At 40.4% G+C, this 17,013-nt stretch overlaps 1 long non-coding RNA gene across 1 annotated transcript in view, besides 2 other annotated features; it reads left to right on the plus strand.

Moving 5' to 3' along the window:
* The window catches only part of LOC102723568 (uncharacterized), a 185,086-nt gene that overhangs the window by 90,644 nt on the left and 77,429 nt on the right, over positions 1–17,013 (plus strand). The gene's annotated exons all lie outside the window — the stretch shown is intronic.
* Positions 1,345–1,639: an enhancer, noted in NCBI's record as "tiled region #2558; HepG2 Activating DNase matched - State 5:Enh". NCBI's record gives its function as "activates a minimal TATA promoter and a strong SV40 promoter by Sharpr-MPRA in HepG2 cells {active_cell/tissue: HepG2}" and the evidence as "EXISTENCE:reporter gene assay evidence [ECO:0000049][PMID:27701403]".
* Positions 12,229–12,777: an enhancer, noted in NCBI's record as "NANOG hESC enhancer chr11:34817013-34817561 (GRCh37/hg19 assembly coordinates)". NCBI's record gives its function as "activates a minimal SCP1, AML or CMV promoter by ChIP-STARR-seq in naive H9 embryonic stem cells {active_cell/tissue: H9 hESC(naive)}" and the evidence as "EXISTENCE:reporter gene assay evidence [ECO:0000049][PMID:30033119]".

Genomic DNA, 17,013 nt, shown 5'->3' on the forward strand with positions numbered 1-17,013 from the left:
TAATTATTTTTATATTAGAATTCAACAAAGTAGAAATGTTTGTTCTAAGTCTCTAATGTTAATAGCAAATGGAATATCCTTTTCATGATTTTTTAAAAATAAAGCAAACACTCTATCCCCAATGCTTTCTGCTGCATATACGTTTATTTCTTTAGATTCAGGTCACTTTGTCCTTGCTTAGTCTTGATCTCTGCTGTATCCTGTCACTAGAGAAGGCAAGCTTCTAGGTAAACATACAGAGAAACTAAGTGTGTAGGCAAAAATGGCTTCTTTCGGTTATGAGGGTTGAGGACATCGATCAGTGACCTATAAATAAATGTTGATAAAAAGGAAGTCTCCATATTTTGTTTACCAACCTCAGGGCACAGTAGGAACCAGATAGTAAAATGGAGGCAAGTGCCCTGTGTTAAATGAACTGAATGAACCCTTCTCTCTTCTCAACTTCAGCTTTTGCTCTGTGTCTTCCTGGCTGCTTAGGTTCTCTGGTACCATGTGAATCCTTCTTTATACACCAAGGGGCTCTGTTAGGGCTGGAGGTGTCCTTTCTTTCACTATGACTCCTCCATCAAAAGCAAACATAGTAAGATATCAAGTTGGCAAAGCTTCACCTTCAACCACCACTTTAAAAGTTAGCAAATTGATTCACAGATGTGATCTTTGCCAAGTCACTCAGAAGTAGATGGGAACAGAGATGAGGTACTTAGGGAGGGACCCAAAGGCCTTTAATATTGATCAAAAGGGTTGCCCAACAGACAGAGACTCCCAGTGTGAAGTGCCCAAGACTCAGGAATGGGGTGGAGAGTGTCGTGACAGGCTTTGTGGCCATTAAGAAGAAAGAACTGCTTCTCTGAAGCAAAACAAAGGGAGTTGGCTCAGAGTGATGCTGGGTGCACAGATCATGGGACTGTTTGGGGCATGACCTCAGTGCCTCCTGTGTGACTATCTCATATCAGGTTAGTGGGAGTCCGAAGGGTGAAACTGAGGTCAATCCATGTTTGCCTTGCACTTGTTTGTCCTGTTTGGGCTCCTGTCCATCTCCTACAGCCATAGGTGGTCTCCTCTGCAGAAAGTAAGGAGCGGGAGTAGAAAGGGACAGGTTTTATCTCAGTCAGGATTACTCTGTATAGCCTGTGTGTGCTGTGGAGGTAAGGAAGGTAAGGGAAGATGACTCAATAACTCATTTGCTTATGTGTACATATTTGCAGGGCACTGGGCTAGGTACTGGATATAACAATAACAATAACAAAATAATGACTATATGTGTCAGGACTGTGTCAAGTACCTTCCTTGATGAGTTTATTTAAATTTCACAACAATCTTATAAGGTAGGTGCATTATTCACATTATACAACTGAGAAATTTGAGGTTTGGAGAGGTCAAGTAACCAGCCCAAAGTCACACACCTGGCGAGCACAGAAATAGAATTGAAATCCAACTTTGTCTCTGTGCTTTCAACCATCGTAAATATTTGGGTAAATTTCAACATTCAAGAGGTTCAAAGTCTAGTGGGAAAAACAGACAAACATGTGAGAGGTGTGGTAATTGCTAAAGGGTTGATCAGTTTTAGCCACAGTACAGCAATTGGCATAGCATGAAAATTATCCTCTGAAGCTTTGAATTATAATTAAGTCCCTTTTATATCCTCTAAAGCAAGGTTTTTAAACCTTGGGACTATTGACATTTTAGGACAGATAATTATTGTGGGGGGCTAGCCAGTGCATTGTGGAATGTTTAGCAGAATCTGCTTATTAGGTGCAAGTGGCACTGGACCCCAGTAGTTAGTGATAACCAAAAATGTCTCCAGACATTGCCAAAGGTCAGCAGGGGGCCAAAATAGCCCTGAGTTGAAAACCACCACTTTGCAAGAATGAAACAACTTTAAAAGGCAAGAATTATATCTTAATTATCATTTCATTCCTTCACCTTGCACCCCAACATACACATATGTATAGAACACTCCACCCAACAGCAGTAAAGTACACATTCTTTATAAACACCCTTAGAACATTCTCCAGGATAGACCATATTCTACACCATTTAAAAGTCTCAACAAATGTAAAAGAATCAAAATTATTAGATGTATGCTCTCTGACCCTAATGAAACTAAACTAAAACCCAGCAATCGAAAGAAATATTGGAAATCTCCAACTATTCAGAAGTTAACACATTTCAAAACACCCTATAGGTATAAGAAGAAGTCACAAATGAAATTTAAAAGTATGTTGAGCTAAAAGAAAATGTAAACACAGTGTAACAAAATTTATGGATTGCAGCTAAAGCAATGCTTAAGATATGTTTTTAACTTTAAATATATATAGTCTAAACAAAAAAGTTCAAATATGAATAATCTAAGATTGTATCCCCATACACAAAAGAAAGGAAATAAAATCAGGTATGTTGAAGAAAGGAAAAATAAAGATTAGAGTAAAAATCAATGAACTAGAAAAAAAATGGGAAAAAAAATTGGTCACACCAAAAGTTGATTCTTTGTAAAAATCAGCAAAATTAATAAACATTAACCAGATTTACTAAGAAAAAAAGAGAGAAGACACAAATTATTAAGGTCTAGTATAAAATCATTACACTACAGTCACTACAGAATCTACAGAAATTAAGATATTATGAGAAATATTATGAAGAGCTTCATGGCATTAAATTGGGCAACACAGAAGAAACGAACACGTTTCTAGAAAGACATAAATTATCAAAACTGACTCAAGAAGAAATACTAAATCTAAGTAGATAATATAACGTAATAAAATTTAAAATATTTCTTCCACACACAAAAATACTCAGGACCAGAGTGATGACTTTACTGGTGAATTCAATCAAACATTTAAGGTCAAGATAATACCAGTCCTACTCAAACTATCAGAAAGTAGAGGAATAAAAAGCATTTAGCAACTTATTTTATGGGGCCATTATTACCCTGATACTGAAGTCAGACAAATAAATTATAAGGAAAAAAAATTGCAAACCAATATCTTTCACAAATGTAATCATTATGTAAACAAAATATTGGCAAATTTTATCTACAACATATTAAAAGAATTATCATGACAAAGTGGATTTTATCCCAGAATGTAAAGTCTATTTAAAATCCAAAATTCAATGAGTATAGTACACCATATTAATAGAATAAAGGGTAAAAATTATATGATCATTTCAATAGACTCAGAAAAGCATTCGACAAAATCCAACACTTATTCATAATAAAAATCTCAGCAAGCTGGAAATAGTTTACAAAATCCTACAGCTAACATGATGTTTAATGGTGAAAGACTGAATTCATTTCTCCTAAAATTTGGATTAAGGAAAGGATATTCACCCTTACCACTTCTTTTCAGCATTGTACTGAAGTTTCCATCCAGTGCAGTAAGTCAAGAAAAAGGAATTAAAGTCATATAGATCAGACAGGAAGAAGTAAGATGACCTTTATTTGAAGACAGGTGGCTTTGTATTAGAAAAAAAAACTATTAAAACAAGTAAACAAATTGAGCAAGGTCACAGGATACAAACTCAAGATACACAACTAATTGTCTAATTGTCTTTTTATATTATTAGCAATGAACAATCCAAAAATAAGATTAAGAAAATAATTTAATTAATAATGGTATCAAAAAAGAACAAAATACTTAGGAATAAATTAACATAAATAGTACAACATAATACTCAAACCAACAAAATATTCCTCAGAGAAATTAGAGATCCAAATAAATTGAAAGCCACACCCTCCTCATAGCTTGAAGGACTCAGTATTTTTAAAATAGTAATTCCCTTCAAATTGATTTGTAAACTCAACACAAATTTTATAAAATTCCTTCAGATCTATTTGTATAAATTAACAAGCTAATCCAAAATTAATATGAAAATGCAAAGGACATAGAAGAGAATAAACAATTTTGAAAGAGAAAGACTAAGTTGGGGAATTTATACTACTTAACTTCAAAATTAAACCTTCAAGAATCAAAACAGTGTAGTGCTGGCATAAGTATAGACATACAGCTCAGTAAAACAGAGTAGGGTATCCAGAAGCAAACCCGTGTATTTATGATCCATTGATTTTCAACAAAGATGCCAAGGTAATTCAATGGATGAGAAAATAGTCTTTTTCTAAAAATGAAGCTGGAATAATTGGATATCCATATGTAGCAAAATCAACTTAGATGCTAACTTACTCTGCACATAAAATAGCAATTAAAAATGAATCATAGATCTAAATGTAAGCACTGAAAGTATAACATTTCTAGACGAAAACATAGGGAAAAAAATCTTTGTGACTTTGGGTTAGGCAAAGAGTTCTTAGATACAGCATGAAAACCACAATCTATAAAAGGAAAAACATTTCTAAATTTGACTTCATCAGAATTTTTAAATGTTTGCATTCTGAAAATACCATTAAGAATGTGAAAAGACACACCACAGACTGGGAGAAAATGTAATAAATCATTTACCTTATAATGAACATCTATTTGAAGTATGTAAAGAACTTTTTCACTCTGTAAGAAGACAACCTAATTGAGAACTTCCAATAAATTTGAAACAGAAACCTCACCAAAGATACATAGAATACAAAAAGCTCAAAAAAAGATGCTGAACATCATTAGTTATTACAGAAATACAACTTAACACCACACTGAGATACCACTATATACTGACTAGCATGGGATTTTTTTTTAAAAAAAAGACATTTTTGCATTTCTGTAGAAAAAGCTTGACTCAAAAATCAGTTGATAAGGTACAGATTCCTGTCTTTGAATCTGTCACTAAAAGACAGATTCCTGTGCCTCACTCCAGAATTCATGAATCAGATATTTCACTGATTCATAATCTCTGGTGGATGCTTAGGAGTAATACCAGAATTTACATTTCAAATGAGTCCCTTGGCATTTTAAATAAACATTACATTCAACAACTATTAATGTAGGTCTTTCTTTCGCCATTGTGATATGAGAAAATCAAACTAGAATTATTTGTAATATTTTTATCTCTATAATTCTATGCTTTTTTCATCCTATATTTTTCCCTGTCTCTTTCAAAGCCCCTAATTTTCCCTGATCAGATTTTTAAAATTTTATGCATTTTCTAATAAAAGGATAGGGCCTCCTTGCAATGGATTCCTCCCTCCCAGTGAAAGGCCTACATTCTAATTATTGATAATACATGAGTTCATCCAGATGTGTTTTCAGCGTTTCTAGATGTCTCCTTTCATCCACCATCAATCAGTGCAGGAGGGTGGGCTTTGTGCTTGGCAGCCAAAGCCGATGAGAGTGAGATGCTAAGGAACCAGACCAAGGATTCAGATGGTGCTGCTACACTGCTCCCAGTGGATTTCATACTCTGGGTCCATGAATCCTGCCTTGACTACAATTCAAAGGGGCCTAGTGTAGGGGTTGAGAGTGTGGCCTCTGGAGTCCAGTACCTGAGTTCAAGTCCTGGCTCTTCCACTTAGTGCCTCAGACACAGTCTGACTTCTCTATTCCTATTCCTCACCTGTAAAATGCAGACAAGCGTATTCCTGACTCACAGGTCCTTACAAGGACCAGATGGTTAATATTTGTAAAGTGCTTGAAAGAGTACCTGGCATATAGTAGGGCCTGTGTAACTGGTTTGTTAAATAAATTGACCTGTTTGGGTTGATTTCAGGTATTAATTTCCTGTGGCACAGTTCTGAGACATCTGAGCAGTGCTTGCGATCATGTGTGAGGTACAGATGTTTGCTTTTGGGTGTCAGCATTTGGGGATGACAACACAGCCAGATGGGCATCTTGGAAATTGTGTTCCAAGAAGACCTAGAGTTCCATTGTGTGTGTGTGTGTGTGTGTGTGTGTGTGTGTGTGTGTGTGTGTGTGTGTGTGTGTTTTGAAGTGAAAAGGACAGATAGTAAACAACTAAGACTAATGAACAAGATACTCTCAGATAGTAGTATTATGAAATAAATAAAATGGGGTGATGTGATAGCAAGACACTGTGGTCTTGTTAAAGATGATCCCCCTGGGCTGCCTCTGTCTCATCCCTCCCCAGTCGCACCCAACCCCAGCCTACTCCCTGCCCAAGATGGGGCAGCCAGGGCCAAACAGTCGTACATGTGTAGCCCACATCACCACACTTGATTTGCTTCATTCCCAAGGGTCAAATAGGCCAATTTCCCACATCCTGTGCTTCCCTCTATTTAAAAGCCCTGAATGACTATTCCAGTGACACTCCTTTGAAAAATTTTCCATGAACTTCGGGCTAAAACCTTCCTTTATTTAATTTCACCTTAATTGCATCAATTAGGCTCCTTTCATGTTTGCTCAACAAACTCTTTTGTTTCTTTCACTCAGCTCTGAGCAACAGCTGCCAAGTGGAGTCTTTGTTCTGAGGCCTTTTTTTAATGGTCTTCACACCAATCTTGTTTGTTTTCCTCAGTGGCAGCTCTGAACAAACCTGAGAAGGTGTTGCCATTAAGCCACAGAGGGCAAGCTTAGTTGCCAGCTGCCATTTACCCCTCATCCAGTTCCCGGAATGGAAAATGAGGCCTTTCTTCTCTCATTTTGAAGGGAACATGTTTGGTTTGGTTGTGTTGGGAGAGGTGTCAGAGCCCTCAGATAACTGAATGCTCCTCAGAGTCTCACTTATGACACCCCTTCTCCCATCCCCAGTCTTCAGTCCCTCAAGTCACTTTTGCTCTTTCAAGCTATAGAGATTTCATGGCTACCTCCCTGCCTGTAGTCTTCTCCCACTTCCTCCATTCTCACAGCTGGCAGAGAAAGATCATTCTAAAATGGATCCCATCAGACCACTCACATGCTAAACTCTTCCATGGCTTCTCACAGAATTCAGGGTACCTTGCTCACTCCTTAGCTTGCTGCTCCAAGTTCTTCAGGCTTGACTCTTTAGTTTCAAGTTCCTCAACCCCTGCAACCCACATGAGGAAGCTTTCCTCCAAGATGGCTGCAATCAAATTTCCTCCCTCCTTCTGTAGGCAAGCCATTCCCCTACTAAGGTAAAGGGCTCTTACTCCCCTCCCCTTGGATCTGGGTTGGCTGCAGTGACTTGCTTGATCATAAGAATGCAGGAGTATGTTCTGGAACTTCCAAAGCTAGGTTACAAAAGGCTTCCTAGCTTTTTTTTTTTTTTTTTTTTTTTTTTTGAGATCGAGTGTCACTCTGTCACCCAGACTGGAGTGCAATGGCGTGGTCTTGGCTCACTGCAACCTCTGCCTCCGGGGTTCAAACGATTCTCCTGCCTCAGCTTCCAGAGTAGCTGGGACTACAGGCAGGTGCCACCACACCCGGCTAATTTTTGTATTTTTAGTAGAGATGGGGTTTCAGTATGTTGGCCAGGCTGGTCTTGAACTCCTGACCTCGTGATCTGCCCACCTCAGCCTCCCAAAGTGCTGGGATTACAGGCATGAGCCACCGTGCCCCACTGGCTTTGTAGCTTTTACCTGGGCTTCTTGAAATACTCACTCTAAGATTATTTACTCTGGGGGAAACTAGCTACCCTGAGACTGCCATGTCATGAGAAGCCACATGGAGGAGCCCTGGATAATGAGATAATGAAATATGTAGAGAGGAAGGGAAGCCAAGAAACACCAAGGCACCAGAAATGTCAGTGAAAAAAAATCTTGAAAGTGAATCTTCAGCCCCAGTGGCCGTAGGTAATGCCAAGTAAACGAGAGATGAACCATCCAGCTGAGCATTTCTGCATTACTTACCCACAAAATTACAAACAAAACTAAATGGTTGTTTTGGGGTAGTTTGTTATACAGCAATAGACAACCAGGAAGTCACTTCCTCAGACAATTCTTTCAGACCTTGAAGTCCACCCTAAGCTATCATGCATATTCCCATGCCATCGTCCTTGCACCTGCTACTGTCTCTATCTGAAATTACCTTTCCATTCTCTGCATGGCCAACTCTTGCTTTTTCTTTGGAAACCTAAGTACTACTTTCTTTGGCAAGACTCTTTTTTTAATCTTTTCAGTTTGTGTAGGACAGGTCCCCTCTAACATTCTTTCAACAAATATATATTAAGCTTCTACTATGAGCCAGACACTGAAGCTTCAACAGTGAAGCATATTTCCATGTTGCTCTATGGTTCCCTGTTATATCAAAGACTGCATTCTGTTTGAAATGGCTTCTACCTTTATCTCACAACAAGCTCGCCGAAGGCTGAGGCTGTATGCTTCTCTATGTATATCCTGGGCATCTGGCGTAGTGCTAGTACATAGTAGGTGCTCAATAGATTCCAACTAAATTAACAAATGAGTTGTGATCTTCAGCTGGTGTTTATATGAACACTTGAGTTTAGGTTTGGCTGATTTCTGCCAAGTCCAGCTTCCTGAAGTGGAAGCATTGTCAAAACCCTGAAATGATAGTGGTGGGAATGAAGTCTAATAGCAAACTTTCTGGTTTGGGTACCCTTCAAATGCAAATGCACCAACACTAAGAACCCAGAGTTGGAAACCCTTTAGAATGAGCACTGGGACACACTTGTCCTGAAATGCACAAGAAAATCTTCTACTTTGATGGTGAGAGGGAAGATCAGCAGATGCAGCATTCACATCAGTCTGCACTACATAGGTATATGAACCTCTGAACTTAGTCCCTCTGTCTCTTCTGCCCTGGGGGTAGCAAACATATAGGCAGATGGGAGGAGGCCAAACTCCAAAGGCTTTCTGTTTTGTTTTGAATATACCAAGCAATCTGAGAAAGAGAACTTGCTCTTAAAATGAAAGTAATGTGTGCTTGCTTGGGGCTGGATACAAAAGAAAGATTTATCAATGTTAAAAAACTCCATCTGTTTTTAGGAAGCTGCCTTGTGGTTACCACTTCTTGTGCCTATTATTTCATGCTAAGGAGCCACACAGACCGTGTGGCAGTTTTTTGCCATTATGGCACAGAGAGAGCAAAAGCCCAGAGCCCGGAGAAACAACAAGCAGTTTGTCTATTATCTCAACCAGGGCTGAATTTACCTCCTTCACTCCAGGACCTCTGGCAATGACCAGAGACATTTTCAGATATCATGTTGGGGTAGGGGTGGGGGTGGGGGACTACTGCCTCTAGTGGATAAAAGTCAGGGATACTGCTAAACCTCCTACAATGCACAGGACTGCCCCCATTACAAAGAATCATCCAGCTCAACGTGTTAGTAGGGCCAAGATTGAGAAACCCTGGCTTAAGGCACTGGTTTCAAGCTTCAGTGTACATCAGAATCACTTAGAAGGCTTTTTAAGACACAGGTTGCTGGTTTGGGAGCCATGGAGTAGGGCACAGGAATTTGCATTTTTAACAAATTCTCAGGTGATTCGGATGCCGCTCCTGGGACAAACGTTTGAGAATCAATTGTCTAGAGTTTCCCTTCCCTAAGTAGTAGAAGCTGAGTGTGGGTACCACTTGCTGGGGCATGAAGGGAAGGTCTAGGAAGGGGGTCTCCATATAGGCCTTTTGGGGGTCCTCTCTGGCCTCTCAACAGGAATCTTTCCTTTGGGTCAGTGAAATTCATACTAATTCAGTGTAAACACCTACTCTGGGTTGGAACCTGAAAAGCAAAACAAAAACATTCATGAAAGAAAAAGCAGCCTGAACCAGGAAGGGAAATGAGCTGCAACTGGGGTCAATTTTTTGGCACATTCCACGGGACTCACAGAGCAGGTAACAATAGCTCCAATTCTCCAGAGGGGCAGCCAGATCAACAAAAGTTCAATTAGTAAGTCTTGGCAAATAAAGGCAACAAACAGTTTGGCAATAATAAATTAAGTCCATGCTTGGCTTTCACCCAGGCTCGTTACTGTCTCCCTGCCAGGCTTTGTGAAAGAGTGGCTTTGAAGGCTCCTGAAAAGGGTTCATTTCTTGAACAATTCTTGCTTTTGTTTGCTGCCATTCTCTTCTTTTCTTTGCTCCTTTCTTCACTTATCATGAAGGGCACTCACAGGAGCATTCGGCTTCTGTCCTCCCAAGAGTATGACGTTCACTCCTCTTCTTCCCAAGAAGGTACAAGGAGCCCACTGTCAATTCTGCTGTCACCCATAGAGGACATCCAGGGATGAGAACTAAGGGACTGCAGATTCAAAGAGATGAGCTTTCTAGTTTAAAAATTCAATTTCCAAGAAAACAGAGAACAAAGGCTACTGACGCTTAGAGACACTGCTTCCATTTTGAACATGTTTCTAAGGATAAGGAAATGAAATCATTTGGTGAACATGCCAAGCACCTTGAAGCCTTGCAAATTATAGTGTGGAGTCCACATTCTCCAAGTCCTCTGTGTCCCCTAAGATGTGGATATTAGCATTAATGATAATGATAATTATCTAATATTTACCGAGTTTTCCTGTGTGTCAGATATACTTCTAAGCATTCTACATCTGTTCTTTTATCTATTCTTTTTAGGAAAGCCTGCAGGATTGATATTTCATTATTCCCGTTTTGTAGTTGAGCAAATAGAGGCAAAGAAAAATTAAGTGTCTGAAATGGGGTCATTTTATTTTCTTTATGAAACAGTGCAGCCTGATTCTTGCCAATGGTGTAATCATTCTGTGCTATGTGGATATTCTCCAACTTGTAGAGTGTCCTGTAGCAGTGGTGTACTCTCAAGCAGATGTCTCTACTTTAGGCAAACATGTTGTGAGATACCAACTCTTACCACCATTGAGTGAGGTCCTGCTGGCAGTTAGTGTTTTAACTGTGCTTTGGCTGCTACCACTGATGATTTGGGGACAAGGAGTAATGCTTGGGTTGTACTTAGGCAGCACTGAATTCACAGAGAGAACATAAAAGGGAAAAGAGACCTGCCAACAACAACAAAATGAAATGGCAGATCTAGTTTAATATGTTGGGAAATCCAGTCCCATCGGGTGATTTTAGGTTTGATTTTACTGATCATCAAGGTCACCCCTTACTTGCATTCCCAGTTTCCCAGTGGAGGCAGTGGAGGCTAAGAGGATGAACCTATCCAAGAATACACAGTAAATGGTAGAAGTGAGACTAGAACTTGGGACCACTGACTTTCGTTCCTGTGTTATTTTTATTATTCCACTCAGACTCTCCCATTGGTACATCAGTGGTATGAGCCAGATGGAATTTCTGGACACAGAGGATTTAGTAAAATTCACAGAATCACAGAGTCTTACTGTCTGGAGAGATCTTGCCTGGTTTAATTGCCTCCCTTCTCGAAAGATGCAGTGAGAGCCACAGGGACATTACAGGCATTTCTCTGTTTCTGCATTGAGAGCTGTGAGCTCCACACCCCTGGGGCTGAGGAGCATTGACTAGCCCAGTCAACAGATGGTGTGGGTCCCCTTGTGCGCTAGGCACTACCATGTGTTACGGGGTCAAGTAAAATGATGCCTTTTAGACAATGTTCCTATAAGAGCCTAGGATCAGAGACCATGTCCCCAGCTTCCACAGAATATCGAGAGAGAAGCAGGAAATCAATATGGGGAAAGAAAGTTGAAGTTGGGTTGCAGGGGTTATAAATGCCAGGCCAGACAATCTTAACTTTACTCTGAAGACAAGGAGGGACCACTAGAACTTCTTAAGTCGATCTTTGATATGGATAGAGTTTTGCTTTGGGAAAAGGAAGATGGTGTGATGCCCAGACTTGTGGGCCGATATCAGATGGCAGAAATGGCAGCTAGATTACTGTAGCCATCCAGACAAAAACTAATGTGGTGACTCAGCAATTTTGCATGTAGGATGTATCAAATAGAAATGAAAACCTAGGTCCATGTAAAGGCTGTACATAAATGTTCATTATAGTTTTACTCATGATAGTCAAAACAGAAACAACTCAAATAAATGTCCATCATTTGGAGAATGGATGAACAAATTATAATTTATTTCTACGATAGAATACTACTCATCAGTATTAAAAAAAGAATAATGGATGCGGGAAACCGCATGGAGGAATCTCACAGACATTATGCTCAGTGAAAGACGCTGAACAGAAAAGAATGCATGCTGTATTATTCCATTTATATGAACTTCGGGAACAGCCAATCTAATCTAAGATGAAAAATCAGAACAGCAGTTGCCCTGGGGGACAGGAGTGATTGGCTGGGCAGGGACACAAAGAAACTGGGAGATAAAAATATTCTAGATCATGATAGAAGCATGATTAAATAGACGCCTCCATTTGTCAAATTTGCACACAAAGATTTGTGCTGTGTAAATTCTGTATAAATTTTATCTTACTTAGAAAATAACTGTAGAATAATAAAAATAATTGAGCCAGGAATACAGAATGGCATAATATTGATAATTATAAAAACTGAGTGATAGGCACATGGAGGTTCATTATACTATCCTGTTTAGTTTGTATATGCTTAACATTTTCCATAATAAAGAATTAAAATAAGTATTGGGCCTGAACCAGGGCAGTGGGAAAGGAGAAGCCAGGACAGACGAAAGCACTGTGGGTATATTCTTGAAGTATCTTGACAACTACTTGGCTGTAGGGGGTGGTTTTCAAAGGCAAATGTTAACAATGACATAGAGTTTCAGTGATGAAGCCTTTAGCAAAGAATAAAAGAGGTTTTAGAGGGGTTGGAGGAGGTTGAATGTGAGGCTATACTGATTCTGAAATGCTGCTGGAATGAAAGCAAGGAAGCACTCAGCAGGAAGACAGAAAGGAAGGAGGATGACATCCTACCTTGAGTGTCATCCTCCTTCCTGTCATCCTGAGTGCAAGATCAAGGGGGAAACTTCAATGATGGCAATAAATTTTTGCACAGGCTTGTACATCACTAAGCTAACCACAAGTCCCCAGAGTTATCTACATTGGATGCTTACAATGAGCCAAGCCTTGTTTCCCACTGGGGCTACAGCCTAATGGGAGAGACAGGAACATCAATACAAATGCAACATAATGTGGTTAGTGTGAAGATAAATGTATGCAAATCATGTTACCAGGGCCCAGAAAGAAAGCTCTTGACCCAGCCTCGCTGAGAGAGAAAGGAGAAACCAAAACCAAGCTATCCTTGAAGAAGACCCCTGAGCTTAGATGGAAACCATGGCCAGCTGGTGCTTGTGGAGTTTAGAGACTTCCTGGATGCCTGGGAAAACCTCATGCTGTGATCCTTATACTTACCACTTGAGCTAGAATTCCCATAATTGTAGACTTCTGGAGATGAAATGAACCCTGAATTAGATTCACAGAACATTTATTGGGCACCTACTATGTCAAAGATATTGTGCTAGCAATACAGTTTGACTGTGTCCCCACCCAAATCTCATTTTGAATTGTAGTTCCCATAATTTCCATGTGTCATAGGAGGTACCCAGAGGGAGATAATTTAATCATGGGGGTGGTTACTCTCATGCTGTTTTCATATTAGTGAGTAAGTTCTCACAAGATCCAATGATTTTTAGTTTTTGTTTTGTTTTGTTTTGTTTTTGAGATGGAGTCTTGCTCTGCTGCCCAGGCTGAAGTGCAGTGGTGGGATCTCAGCTCACTGCAAGCTCCGCCTCCCAGGTTCATGCCATTCTCCTGCCTCAGCCTCCCCAGTAGCTGGGACTACAGGCACCTGCCACCATGCCAGGTTAATTTTTCGTATTTTTAATAGAGACAGGGTTTTACTGTGTTAACCAGGATGGTCTCAATCTCCTGACCTTGTCATCCACCTGCCTTGGCCTCCCAAAGTGCTGGGATTACAGGCATGAGCCACTGCACCTGGCCAATCCAATGGTTTTATAAAGGGCATTTCCCCCTTTGCTCAACACTTCTCCTTTCTGCCATCATGGGGAAAGTTTGGAACTTCCTAGAGACTTGTTGAATAGCATTGTCCAAAATGCTGATAGTGATATGGACAATAAAGTCCAGGCTGAGGTGGTCTCAGATGGAGATGAGAAACTTGTTGGGACAGGAGCAAAGGTGACTCTTGTTATGTTTTAGCAAAGAGACTGGAAGCATTTTGCCCCTGCCCTGGAGATCTGTGAAACTTTGGACTTGAGAGAGATGATTTAGGGTATCTGGCAGAAGAAATTCTAAGCAGCAAAGCATTCAAGAGGTGATAGAGCATAAAAGTTTGGAAAATTTGCAGCCTGATGATGCAGTAGAAAACAAAAACCCATTTTCTGGAGAGAAATTCAAGCTGGCTGCAGAAATTTGCATAAGTAACTGCAGAAATTTGTATAAGCATAAATTTGAAAGACAATGGGGAAAAAGTCTTCTGGGCATGTCAGAATTCTTCATGGTAGCCCCTCCCATCACAGGCCCAGAGACCTAGTAGGAAAAAATGGTTTCCTGGGCCGGATCCAGGACCTACCTGCTGTGTGCTGCCTAGGGACTTGGTGCCTTGCACCCTAGCCACTCTAGCCATGGCTAAAAGGGGCCAAGATACAGCTCAGGCCATGGCTTCAGAAGATGCAAGCCCCATGCCTTGACAGCTTCCATGTGGTGTTGGTCCTGCAGGTGCACAGAAGATAATAATTGAGGTTTGGGAACCTCCACCTAGATTTCAGAGGATGTGTGGAAATGCCTGAATGTCCAGGCAGAGGTTTGCTGCAGAGGCAGAGCCCTCATGGACAACATCTACTAGGGCAGTGCAGAAGGGAAATGTGGGGTTGGAGCCCTTACAGACTCTGCCTAGTGGAGCTATGAGAAGAGGGCCACCATTCTCCAGACCCCAGAATGGTAGCTCCTCTGACAGCTTGCACTGTGTGCCTGGAAAAGCTGCAGACACTCAACAGCAGCCCATGAAAGAAGCTGGCTGGGGAGCTGTACCCTGCAAGGCCACAGGGGCAGAGCTACCCAAGGCCATGTGAATCCACCTCTTGCATCAGCAAGTCCTGGATATGAGACATGGAATCAAAGGAGATCATTTTGGAACTTTAAGGTTTAATGACTGCCCTACTGGATTTGCATGGGACCTGTAGTCTGTTTGTTTTGGCCAATTTCTCCCATTTGGAATGGTGCATTTACCCAATTCCTGTGCCCTCATTGTATCTAGGTAGTAACTAACTTGCTTTTGATTTTACAGGCTCATAGGTGGAAGGGACTTGCCTTGTCTCAGATGAAACTTTGGACTTGGACTTTTGAGTTAATACTGGAATGAGTGAAGACTTTAGGGGACTGTTGGAAGGGCATGATGGTATTTTGAAATGTGAGGACATGAGATTTGGGAGGTGCCAAGGGTGAAATGAATGATATGCAGCCTGATTCAAGATGAGATTTGGGTGGGGACACAGCCAACCCTCATCTTGAATTGTAGTTCTCATAATCCCCATGTGTGGTGGGAGGGACCTGGTGGGAGGAAATTTAATCATGGGGATGGTTACCCTCATTGTGTTCTCATGATAGTGAGTGAGTTCTCATGGTTTTATAAGGAGCTTTTTCCCCTTTGCTTGGCACTTCTCCTTGCTGCTGCCATGTGAACAAGGATGTGTTTGCTTCCCCTTCCACCATAATTGTGAGTTTCCTGAGGCCTCCCTAGCCATGCTGAACTGTGAATCAGTTAAACCTCTTTCCTTGATAAATTACTCAGTTATGAATATGTCTTTATTAGCAGTGTGAGAATGGACTAATACAGCTAGGTACTGTTGAGTGATTCAAAAGTGAGAAAAAAATACATTCCCTGCCTTTAAGGAGCTTCTACCTAATAGTGGAGACAGAGGCAGCTATACAACTCTATATCACAGAAGTTGATACATGAAAAAAGCAGTAACTTACTATACACATAAAAAATATAACACAAAGAAGGGAGATGTACAACTAGGAGATCATAGGACATCCCATTCATTTTACAGATAAGGAAAGTAAATTTCAGAGAATTAATGTCACCTGTTCAAGATTGCATAGCTATTCAATAATTTTGATTGATTTCTGAGAATACTGAGCTATTTGATCCTAACTCTTGCTTCCTGACCTGGGCTTCATCTCTATTTCTGTGGCAGCATTCCAACTCTTATGTATTTACTGTAGTTAACACTCACTCACCCACTGCACCTGCTTTTCTACTCCCCTTTGATATAATGAACACTGGCTACAAAGTACTCAGAGTGGATAGAAGTCATTGCTTCCCTGAGTATGAGCTTAGTGCAATATGTTATAAAATTCAATCCTGGACAAATAGCACTACTGACTTGCTCCCTTTGGAAGCCAGTCTTGACATCAATTAAGCCCTTTACACAATCTCTAATTTGTGATTAAATACATTTTAAAAATACAATTAGTTTTGGGCTGGAGCTACAGAGGCCTTTGATTCATAATTGGCTGATTGTTTCCAGAAAATTAACCAAGGGAGCAGTCATACTCAGTTGGCTCTGCAAGACCCATTGCAAATGCACACCCTAATTCCTGCCTCCTCCCAGGGTTAAAGAAATGTCTTCACAAGTGGGAACCTACCTACCTACCTGACTTCAGTTTTCTAAAATATAAATGTGATTATGTCACTCCCTAGCTCAAAATCTCTAGGGCTCCCCATTATCTTCTGGACAATGTCCCAACTTCTTGACTCCCTTAGAAGCTTTTCATGTACTGGCCTCTGCCTCACATCCAGCCTCATGGAGCCTTGCTCATTGTGTCCTAGTGGCCTTTCAGACCACCAAATCTCTGTAGCAAATCCCATTAGCAGTTTCACTAACAAACCTATATTCATTAATCTATTCTTTCACTAATTCATTCCATAAATACTTCATGGAACTTTATTAGGTGTCAGCCCCAGTGCTAGGCCCTTGGGATTAAGTGATGAGCTAGGGAGTCAAGGATCTTTAATTCTCAGAGGTAGACATTAATCAAATAATCACACATCTACATGGTTACAAATGTGCACATACAAAGAGCTGGCAAAAGGGAACAGTAAGTACAAAGGTCCTGGGAAGGAGAAGAGCCTGGCACAGTTGAGCAACTGACACAGACAGCATAGTAAAGGGGAAAATGGAATGAGTTGAATTTGGAGAAGTACCAAAGGACTAAATCATGTAGTACCTTGTAATCCATGGTAAAGAGTTAGATTGGTAGAAGGCAGGATTTTAAGAACAGAGAATGACACGATAATCTATGCAGTTAAAAGATTGCAGTGTGGGCTAG

The sequence above is a fragment of the Homo sapiens genome, chromosome 11, assembly GCF_000001405.40.
Source record: "Homo sapiens chromosome 11, GRCh38.p14 Primary Assembly".
NCBI lineage: Eukaryota > Metazoa > Chordata > Mammalia > Primates > Hominidae > Homo > Homo sapiens.